This window comes from Homo sapiens, chromosome 5 (assembly GCF_000001405.40).
Source record: "Homo sapiens chromosome 5, GRCh38.p14 Primary Assembly".
Taxonomy (NCBI): Eukaryota; Metazoa; Chordata; class Mammalia; order Primates; family Hominidae; genus Homo; species Homo sapiens.
The window spans coordinates 133,708,292-133,720,428 of NC_000005.10; the positions used below are offsets into that span (position 1 = coordinate 133,708,292).

Sequence of the window (12,137 nt, forward strand, 5' to 3'; positions counted from 1 at the left end):
GGCTACACAGCTTCCAAGGTAGGTTTCCTGGCAACGCCCTTTTCATCTCCTCCAGGACCCGCTGTGGGTGGGTCTCTGCCCTATTTTGTCATGGTTGAGGCTGCTATACTAGGGCTACTCCCCAGGTGGTCCCTGACCTTCACTATGTGACCTGATTACTCTCCAGCCTTATTACTCTCACTGCTGGGCCTGAGTCATGAACCAGAGCCACTGGACCTGACCGTTCCTCCTCCCAGACCCTAGCTTGTCCTGCTCCATTAGAGCAGATACAACCTGCCTCACAGGCTGTGTATGGCCCCAGTGGCACAAGGAAATCCACAGAGGAGGGGACAGTCACAACCCCGGCCATGTGTTCCCTAGGCACAGAGCCAAAGGAGCTGCAACTCTATCTCCTGACATTACCTTCCCCTCTGGTTATTCTCTCCTTTTAAAAATTTGAGAACCAACCAGTCAATGTGGCCCAAATGTAGGCCAGCCCAGGGAGTTGCCTATGATGTGGGGGCTATTGCCTTGGTCTAGGTCTTCCTGAGATGGGGTTGGGAGAGAAACATAGCTGGCCTTAATTTACAGGGAATAGGAGAGCCGGTGAAGTCTAACTCCTCCACCAGAAAACCAATTCCATGAGAGCAAGGGACTTGATGGCTGTATTCTCCACTATATTCACACCAGGCAGTCTCTGGCACATAGTAGGCATTCAATAAATATCACCTATTATGACTGATTATAATAACAATCCATAACAAACTTCCCCAGGGCATTAAAAAGAGATCTGAGTTATAAATTATTTTATACACAAAATTGTAGACACATGGACTGTGTCAAAGTGAAGCACAGCTGTCACATACAGGCAGGAAGGCCATCTCTTCAGATTACAGACCACCCCCGGGTCATATCCATTTTGATCACTTTAGAAGGAACTAAGAAGATGGGGAGGAAATGAAGGATTTTTATAGTGATTGGACCAAACGTTTCCCAATCAAGAGCCCATCTATTCACTGGAATCAGCTCCAATCTTGAGACACCAGCTGGCAGTGTTGTCAGATAAACCACATTCTCTCCTGTATGTGCAAACTCCACATTTGACTTCTATAATACTTGAGAGATGTGCTCTACAAGGACTGGCTTCACTTATTCTGAAAACACTGGCTCCTTCAGTATATTTTCTTCAGTCTATTTTTCCTGCCTTGGCAGCAGGAAGAGCACTTTCAGAGATGTTTATTTTCCCTAATGAAAAACAGCCATCAGCTGCTCTTGGCATGCTGAGCAATGGCTCGGGCCACTCTGCAGCATTTCAGAGCAGGCTACAACTCCTAAGTCCACCTTCCTGGAACAGTGACTTGTCCTAATCATACCATCTTTTCCTTCTTCTTCTCCCTCACTGCCAAAATGACCAGAAAAATGATGGTTTCATCTCAAGCCACCTGAAGGGCCAGAGACTCCACTGTAAATATTAATAGTTTCCAGACGTAGCATAAGGCTCATCCAAATGCTCATGTCCCCAGCCAGTTCTAAAGGAGCTATCTGTGAGGATAGATCTCACTTTTATGTTGGAGATTAATATTATTTTTATTGGCTTGGAGATGAAGGGGCTCTGACACATCTCTGTAAACTTGCAGAAGCCCAATATGCTCTCCCTGGGCACGCTGGGCAAGAGGACTGAAAAGACACTGAGTTTAGGAAACTACCCCTGCAGAGCCTGAGATGTGTCTTTCCATGCTCTGCAATCCAGAAAGATCTGCATCCAGAGGATCTCAGCCAGAACTGACGCTGGCATGGATGGGCTCAGGGAGGAGTGCCATGAGGCAGGGGTCAGCCCACTGCACGGGAAGATGGTGCTTCTCTCTGCCCTGGACATGAGCCATCAGCTATCAGCCATCAGCCCCCCACAATGCCTATTCCTTGGATAAGGGAAAAATGGACTCTGCAATATGCTCACCATGACAATCATTGGTTGCATCTGACCAAACCATCCCTTCCTGGGAATTTGCAATCTGAATACAAGCCCGGCCCTCCACCAGGCTCAGCCCAAGAGCACCTATCTTCATGAAGCCTTCTCTTGACTCAAGTGAACCAAATGTCCCATTTGCCAGGGACAGCCTGGGTTTACACTTACTGTCCACTCTATTTATCAGTAGTACCCCCTGTCACTCAAGCATCCCAGTTTGGATGATAACTGGGATGAGTGTCCTCTTACTTTCTTACCCCAAATCCTCAGATGCATGCACCCATCAGAATCACACTGTTTCATGGGGCACAAACCCACCTTCCTGGGATTTGGCAGTTACCCAGGGAATGGAGGCCACATCTCCTTTCTTTTCTCCTGGGTACTCCACAGCCCTTGGCCCCAGCCTGGCCATGCAGAGGTACCCCTAGAGCTGGTTAAAAAGCATGACCCTGGCCTAGGCACTTGGCTGTGCAACCTGGTTGTTGTATAAAACTAGTCAAATCATAAGTAAATTGGCAAATAACCAATATTTGAAGACAGTTTCAGCATCTGTGGGTTGGGAGATAGTGGAATGGCTCAGAACATCCTCATCATATGAGAAAAGAGTAACCAAATAAATGTTCACACAATACCATCACCGTGCCACCTTTGTCCCAAGACTTAAAATAAATACTATCAGGAACAGTAAAACTTGCAGGATGAATGAACAAATATATGCACAAATGAGCAACTGAACAGGGGAAACCTCCGTCTCTAGTTGCACTCTGCGCTCACAGAGCCTCTCTCTTCTGAGCCTCATGGCCTCTCCAGATTCTGGTTGGATGTGCACCTGGTCGTGTTCTCAGTCAGAGAATTTAAGTACCAAAGAGCAGTACAACCCCTGTTGGGTCCCAGTGCTGGAAAAATGGAGGCCCAGGTTCCCAGAGAGCTCTGTCTCTGGAGGAAGAAGGAAAGCATTTGGGATGGGATGCAGCTTGAAGACCAACCAGTTTCTCTGGTTGGACACTTCATTCCATGGACTTTGGGCACATTGGGCAGTTTCTAATACACTGTGTGAGGCAGAGGCTAGATGGAAACCCAGCCCCCATCTAAAAAGAGCAAGAACAGCCTGACTCAGGAGCCTGCAGTACAGAAGGAAAGGCACTAACTGGAAATCCAGAGAGGAGGGAAGGAGAGCCAGGAGCTCTTACCCAGGTGGCCGCTGAAAGGGCCAGGGATGGAGGGTGTGAGGGGCCCCACCAACCCAACAGACTTGCTAGCTAGCACCAGGTCTCTTCCCATGGGAAAAGGCCACTGTTCCTCCCATATGTAGGAGCACACAGTGCTCAGAACTCCAGAAAGAAAGGACTGTTCCTTTGTACTCTGCCAACCTACTGGTGACAGACACAGAGCTGAGCACTGTGATTATAGAGAAGAAACAACCGTCCTTGAGAACTTCCTGATCTGATGTAGTTTTCTAGGTCATGGACTCTTTGGGAAAACACAAAAACCATGATCGCTGCCCCCTCCAAAATACTTTCGTGTGATACAAACCCCTTCCTGCATTCCATTTCGTGGACTGACCTTCCAAGGCCCAACCATGGGTGCTGGGTGAAGAACCCTTGGGCTTAGAGGAAAAATGGTGGAAGGACAGGAGTGCTGCCATGTGCTGGGCTCAGGGCTTTAACTCTTCTCACAACAGCACACAGAGATGTTGGCTTCATTTCACAGATGGGAAAACTGATGACAGCTCAGAGAGGTGACATAACTGACCCAAGGTCACACGGCTACAAAATACCCCGCCCAGGGCTTTGCACTATTCTCTCCATCCCCAGGCCGCCCAAGAACAAGTGCCATACAAGGGGCTATGTGACAACCAGAAGGATGAGCTATCCTATTCGGAGCAGGCAGTTAAAGTCCACTGAGGCCAACTCAGAGCTGTAACTCCCCATCACCATGCGATTTATGCAGACGTTTCCCATTAGCTCTAATGGATGTGGGGAGCATAATTCCAGGGCACAACTCCAGACAGGCTCTTGTGATCTGAATGCCACTAAAATCAATGGCATCGTCCAGGACTGATATGGCAATTGTGGTGCTTTATAAGTAGGCCTGTGGGGTTGGAAGGAGAAGCAGCGTGGGCCCTCCTGTCTCCATGGTGCCCCATCTGGTGGGAATGGTGCCCCTAGATAGGCAGTCTGGAAGAGTGGGTCGAGAGCTGATTTCAGAGCTGGGTTGACTGGGTTCAAATCCTGGTCCCAGCTCTTTCCAGCCACGTGACTTGGCAAGCTATTGAAGTGCTCTGAAACTCATTCTCAACATCCGTAAAGTGGGGATTAATGAGTTAACACGGGTAACCCCTGAGAACAGTGCCTGGCTCCAAGGTAAAATTTCACTTTGAGAAACACAAAAGGCCTGCAAAGGTCACTTCCAAGGGAACCTCCCCACTGGGTTACAAACCCAAGCTGAGGCTAGAGCTATCAGGTTGCTCGTGGATTTGTCCTGGAGACCTTCTAAGCAGATGTCAGCACTGAAGTCCAGTTGGCTTAAGGGCCAGGATTCCCAAGGGGGCCACTTTGAAGGCCTATGCCCACGATGCTGTGTGGCATCTGGAGGGTCAGGAGGGAGAGTGAATGGCCGCCCAGCTCAGCCCCTGCAGGAGGTCCAGGCCGTGTGTGATTCTTGTAGCCATCCTACTTCTTTCTCTCCCCTGCCACGGGATAGATGAGCACGTAAGAAGCTGGTGCTGAGCCCCACTAGAAGGCCAGAATTCCATCCTACTCTTGACAGCATAACCAAATCAACATTTCAATCAATATTTTGAAAAAGAAATATACAAAGAGATCCTGTTATCCTAGGATAACAGGTACCAGAAACAGAGCCACAGCAAATCCACACAAAACAGGTACAAAACCCATAGTGAAAGGTGAAGAAAAGTTTTATTGAGACTTTATCTTAAAAATTAAGATAAATTTATAAAGATATGTTTACTTTTATATTTTAAAATCTATGTGATAATTGCAACTCTGCTAATTATTAGAATGAATAAAGAATAAATTATGAGTTGGTATAATCATCTAACATTTGCTTTAGACAAACCCATAAAAAAGCAAAGCAAATTGCATGATCTGATAGGAAGGAAATAGCTCAGGACCTGCCTTGCCTGGCTTCAGCTGCCCTAAGGCTGCCAGGCTACCCCTTGCTGCAAGATCCAGATCTGACTGATGGTACCTTTGCACTGTAGAAAGCAAGCACCCAGTGGTGATGCAGAGAACTTGAGATTGAAAGAGGGACAATAAAAGTTCCCAGGATTCCCAAAAAGTAGGATAGATGCACTGAATCAAGAAGCCATGAGGTCAAGCTAGCTACCAGACAGCTTTTGGAGGATCCTTCCATCTTCCCAGGATACCCCCTGTTTGGGCCAGTCCAACCCCCAAATAGGGAGCTTCATCTGGCTATGCAAACCAAGCCACTGGGTCCTGGGTGGGAGGGGATGGGAAGTGTCAAGTCCTTGATCTCTCTGTCTAAGCAAGATCTCAGAATTTTGGAGAAGAGAAACAACCAGACTAGAAGAGATGGGATAGCTCATTTTCTTCCAACGTTGAAACTAGGGAAGTAGCAAGAGTGAAGTCATTTCAATCCATCATACACTGTAGTGTTGGGCAATGCACAGCCACACATCGGCTCTCCCATAAACCTGGCCACAAAGGGAGCCCGGACGCTGAACCCTTCTTACAGCTAGAACCCTGGAGACACAGAGCTGCAGCCAGGGTTTTTCTCACAGCAACAAGGCACTCTCCAGGAGGGAGACCCTTGCTTTTCACAGACCCTTGTCCACTGACCCACAGAAGAGGTGAGAAACTAGACACAGCACCAAGGGCTCGTCTGGGCGCTGGGTTTGAATCACACAATAATGATCTGGACAGAGGCTGCTCCACAAAGACATGCCTCCAGCTCAGCCCAGCCCAGACACACATGGAGAGAGAAAAAAATAAAATACCAGATGTGGCTGTTGTCCAACATGGCCCCCCGTCTCTGGCAATGTAAAATAACCTTTGCTTATCAAGCCCTTTCTACAAACCAGGCCCTGGGCTCCCTTTAATCTTCTCATCAACTCTATGACTCACGTACTCATTTGACAAATGTGAGAGCTCAAATGCACGCCTGGACAGTGGTGTAGCCCCAGATTCTAACTCATGCCAAGCCCACGCTCTTAACCCTGAAGCCCGGCGATCTCACCAGGAAGATGAGAGCTCTGCAGATCAGATGCCTGGAACAGTGTCTGGTACAGAGGAGGTACTCAAAAATACTCGATGCCTCTTTGCTGCGTCTTCACTTCACAACAACCTGGAGAATTGAAAAATCTTGGCAGATAATCTAAGCTTCGTAAAACTTCTGCCAAGCTGTGATGAGTGAGTAAATCTTGACTGTGGGCTCTTGAAGGTAGGAACTGAGTCAGATCCTTTACTCTCCCAGAACACCATATGCCTCCCCTGCTCTGCGTGGAAGTGTGGTCCTGTGATTAATTAAGTCATGCCTGTCTCCTCCACTGGGATATGTGTTACCCCAGCGTCATTTCATGATTGACACACAGTGGGCAACAATGGATATTCCTTGAATGAAGAGGCTAATAACCGGCAAGGAGGCTGGTGTGGCTGGATCTCAGCCAGGAAGACAGTGAGCTCCAGAAATGAGACTTATGCACCAGCTGGGTCCCCCAGACATCCCTTACGCCCTTGAGTTTCCTCATCTCTTCAGGATCTCTCCATGGGATCAGGGCAGTCTTGGCTTCCTGGTTCAGCCACCTTCGGCATAGACATTACTCAGTCAAATCTTCAAAATATTCCTCAGTCATTTAAATATGAAAATTTTGTCCTGAACTGAAGAAAATGCTCTGAAAACTTGTGTTGTCTTTCAAATGAGCAGATTCCCTAAATTATGAAAGCAAACAAATTAGGATAGAAGATCTCCAAATAATTGCATAAACTCCAATTTCCTATGTTTTAATATAAACATCAAAATAATAAACTCACACATATACAGGGAGAAAAAATATCCAGCTTGATGCTGTTGCAGTCTTTAGAAGCTGAAACCTAAATGACTAAATTGGCAGTTTATTAACAGGAAAATTATGCTAAGTAGCTTCATGTTGATGTCAAGAATTTTATGCAGTGAGTTATGGCATGGTACCCTGAGTGCTTCATTTGCATTTTCTCATTTAGAGAGAACAATGGCTCCAAATGAGTGCATCATGTTCACATTACAAACCCAAGAACATTTGCACAGACAGAAAGGCATATCTTGATACCATAGTGATTAAGCCTTTTGTTCATTATGCTTCAGCATAGACTTAGGGGAAAGAGGGCAGATTAACTTTACTTAGGCTGGTAATGAAGGGACCTGGGCCAGAGCTCTTAAACTTCTCAAAGGACAAGCAGCCACAGCCCACAGGACTCTTTATTTTTCAGGACTCCCCTGTTTGATTTTGCTCAATGAGGACTGGGAGCTGTGTAATAGGTAAGTAAATGCACACCCTACTTCACATCGTGGAATGCCTTGCGAAATCCCAAACACTGCGAAGAATAGGAAGGAGACTCTCATGCAGCCCACACCTGCTAAACCTGGGCTGCTTTGCTTTCCCCACTCAGCTCCACAGAGTGGGTACTTCCCAGGCCCTGGCTTGTTCAACCAATGCTTATTGAAAACACACATTTATTGAGTATCCTCATTGTGCTTAGTCCTCGGCTGAGTGAAGGAGCAGAAGAAAGCACCATGCCGGCTCCTTAAGAGTTCAAGAAAGAATTCTTAGATGTGCAGCACTGCTAGAAATCATGTGGTCATCGATAAGCAAGTACTGGTTCAAATGCTGTTAAAATGTCCAAATGTAAGTGCAGTTAATCAGGCCATGTACCATGGAAGAATCGTTGGAAGAAGTAACACTTGACTGAGTGTCTAAGAATGGATCCAATTTTTAGCTCATCCAGCAAGAAAATGGAAGGTATTCCAGATGGAAGAAACTGCACAAGCAAAAGTACAGAAGGACAAGTGAGCTTAGAATCTGATGTAGACCATCAGGAAGAGTAGTGTTCATTCATGCAGGCTTATTTTCTCAAAACCACAGGCCATCAGCAGAGATGTGCCTCATCAGTTTATATAAGTTTATATAAGAATATATATATATATATTCTTATATAAACTTAACCTGTTCAAGACTTAACATGGCAGAAATAATGCTATGTGTTTGCCAAATTTCATTTCATACCCCTCCTTAACTGGGAACATGTTAAACTGTGTTTTAAGCTTCCCTGCAGTCAGGCAGGACCACGGAACTACTTCTGTGTAAAAGATATTAACTTTTGTCATTTAATCACATGGAGATTTGGAGGGTGCTTGTCACTGTGGTATAACTTATTTTATCTTGACTAATACATTGGAAAAACCATATTCATTACTTGAATTCTGACGTCATAAATTTATACAATCATTCAAAAAATATTTAAGAGCCCACTGTGTGCCAGGTACATTAGGCATCGGGAACACAGGAGTGAGCAAAACAATAGTCTCTTATAGTTAAATGGAAATCATTCCCAAATATTAGCTTTTATGAATCACAGAAACAAATTCCATTTTTAGAAAAGGGAAACTTTAGACACAACATTTCTTAAATTACTGAATTGGAATAATAGCCTCCAACCCAGTATTTCATTCAGTCCAAGTATTTGTCCCTTGGCCAATGGCCAGTTGGACTTTTGGCAAATCCCTTATCTGGTTCCTAAAAATCAGGAGTCTGTCCTGAGCCAGAATGACCCATCAGGCTGCACCTCTCTGGCCTGTAAATAGTTTCTTCTGACTCCCATCACAGAGCAAAAATCTGGGGGTTTATCATCACAGACAACTATTCAAACTAGTTAAACGTTAGAAGCAATCCAAATAGGAATTGACTATTTCTGACTTTTAACTAGTTTGAACAGTTAAAATTCCAACAGTTGAGTGGATAAGCAAACTGGTATATCCATATGATGGAATACTATGCAGCAATAAAAAGAGCCCTTATACTCCTTATAGGGTCCTAATTTTAGAACTTCAAAAGAGGCCTGTGAGAACAACATTTGTTTTCTCCAGGACAATACTAGTATTTCATTAGGATGGCAGAAATATGCTGATTGTTTTAAATTTGATTGGTACTATTTTGTTTTTTAGAAGTTCTTTATTTGGGTGTAATTTACATGGAGTAAAATGCACATATTTTAAGCATAATGTTGATGCATTTTGATAAATTTCCACTCTCGAGTAACCAGCAACTGCAATCAAAATATAGAAAGTCTCCATCACAGCCAAACGTTCCTTAGTGCCCCATCCCAGTCAATCCCACCAACCCCAGGGCAAACAATAATCTGCTTTCTGTGGCCATAGATTAGATTTGTCTTTCCCAGAGGTTCAGATAAATAAAACATTACAGTGCCTATTCTTTTATGTCTAGCTTCTTTCATTCAGCATAATGTTTTTAAGTGTCGTCCATGTCATTACATCTATCAGTAGTTCATTCCTTTTTATTGCTGAGTAGTACTGCATCATGCAGATACACCATACTGTCTATTCATTTATCTGTGCATGGACATTAGGATTGTTGCCAGTTTTTAACTATGAATAAAGCTGCTATGAACTTTCATGCATACCTTTTAGGGTAAACATGTGTTCATTTCACTTGGGTAAATACCTAGAAGTGAAATTGATGTGTATTTTTAACTTTATAAGAAACTGCCCAACTGTTTTACAAAGTGGACATATCATTGTACATTCTCACCAACAAGGTATGAGAATTCCAGTTGCTCCATATCCTCTCCAATATTTAGTTTGTTTGTTTGTTTGTTTTTTGGTTTTTGGTTTTTTTTTTTGAGATGGAGTCTCACTCTGTCACCCAGGCTGGAGTGCAGTGGCACAATCTTGGCTCACTACAACCTCCGCCTCCCGGGTTCAAGCGATTCTCTTGCCTCAGCCTCCCGAGTGGTGTGTGCCACCATGCCCAGCCAATTTTTGACATTTTTAGTAGAGACAAGGTTTCACTATGTTGGCCAGGGTGGTCTCAAACTCCTGATCTCGTGATCCGCCTGCCTCGGCCTCCCAAAATGCTGGGATTACAGGCATGAGACACTGCGCTTAGCCAGTATTCTTTTCATTGTAGCTACTCTAAAGAGTATGTAGTGGTCTCTCCTTGTGGCTTTATTTTTACTCATGCATAGGTCTTCACACACTACACACATGTAATTTATTGTATAATGTCTGAATGTTCCAAACTTTAGAGTTTAAATACATATACTCATGCAAGTTTATTTTCTAATGTCTTATTTTGACGTAGAAAATTTTATTCTTGATTGACAAAGAAAGCATTTAATTACCTGACAGGGAGAAGAGGGAAAAAGGAAATAGAGAAAGGGAAATATGATGATGTCATAACATCATTTTTATTAATTGTCTTCAACCACATTTTGATTTTACAGATTTGGCCTCTGAGTGATTTTGGATTTCTATGTGACAGCCCTAACGGCCACAGATTTTCACATAATTAGCAAGCATTTACTCTTGTGACTTGATTATTACCTCCTATTCAAGTAAATGTATTACTGCCATTGAAACCATGTACATACCAATAAGCTATTTGCTGTTCAGTTTTAGTTCTTTTTAATTGCTAAATGTAAAGAATAAGCAACATATATTCTACAAGCTATATTAGTTCAAAATATATAAATAAAATGTAATCCAAAATAAGTCATTTAACTTTATGATAGATATAAAAATATTTTGGGGGGAAAACCTGGATGACTGCTTCACTTTTGAATTTTTGGTTTTATACATATAGTGAAAGTAATCTTCTGTTTTTGAATATCTCTTATGCTTTGGCTACATTTACAAGTCAGAGTAGTAATTATTCTTACTTACAAATCCAATCTGACACTGCTAAGAGTTGGACTTAAGAAAAAGCTGCTAAATTACATGCTTAGTACACACATTTGAAGTAAAAAGTTTCAGTGATTCTGTAAAGGATCCCTTAAAATTATTTAAATGAGTTCTTACTTGAACTGTACACAGAATATTAAATATATAGAAAAATAAATCTTTAAGGGGTCTACAGTCTGCTATGGCCAATAATAATACATTATAAAAGTCCATTTGAGGCCAGGCGCGATGGCTCACACCTGCAATCCCAGCACTTTGGGAGGCCAAGGCAGGTGGATCACCTGAGGTCGGGAGTTCGAAACCAGACTAACCACCATGGGGAAACCCCATCTCTACTAAAAATACAAAAAAAATTAGCCAGGCGTAGTGGCACATGCCTGTAATCCCAGCTACTCAAGAGGCTGAGGCAGGAGAATTGCTTGAACCCGGGAGACAGAGGCTGCGGTGAGCCAAGATCACGCCATTGCACTCCAGCCTGGGCAACAGGAGCAAAACTCCATCTAAAAAAAAAAAAAAAAAAAAAAGTCCATTTGATTATATTAGCAATGAAATAGTTCCTTATTTATAAATATAGGCATTAATACTATATCTTAATACTCTGAAAAAGAAAAGTAGTATGCCAATTTTCAGTTATTTTTATAAAGCTCCCATGTCCTATATTACATTTAAATTGAAGATGGCAGTATTCATGAGCTTTGGAAATACAGGATAAGATTGGAGTCAAGTCTTCTGACTCTAAAGCTATTTTTCTTCCTAGAGTTGCCACTTCACTTTCTTTATGAACTTTGAAATAACCTCATGAATATCCATATTCAAGCTTCATTATGGGAGAACTGGCTTCACACGTATCCACAAAGATTTCTAATTTAAGTTTAATGACCATAGAATTGGAGATAGGTGTATAACAGGCCTATAACTTTAGCAGCAAGAAATATCATCTGTTAGATCAGAAACTTAGTAACTATAAAGGAATGCAATGATACTGTTACCCACTAAAAAAGGAGATGCTCATAGTAGGAAAAAGAAAATTCTCATTTTGTATCAAGGAGAAAATGAAATAATAAAGTCCTTTGGAATGCACTAAATATAATTTGTAATTCAAGTTCTTTTTGTGGCAACCTGTAAATACAAACTATCAATACATGTAAATAACTAAATTAGTTTTCTATTAATCTGAGGTGGACTTTGCTTGACAATCATATTTTCATTGAAAATGATAGGGCTAACAACAATAGAATGTATTCCCTTGAATTGTCAA

General features: G+C 42.9%; 1 protein-coding gene across 1 annotated transcript in view; it reads right to left on the minus strand.

The window, feature by feature from the left end:
- Nucleotides 1-12,137, minus strand: part of FSTL4 (follistatin like 4) — a 645,613-nt gene that overhangs the window by 511,837 nt on the left and 121,639 nt on the right. The window lies entirely within an intron of this gene.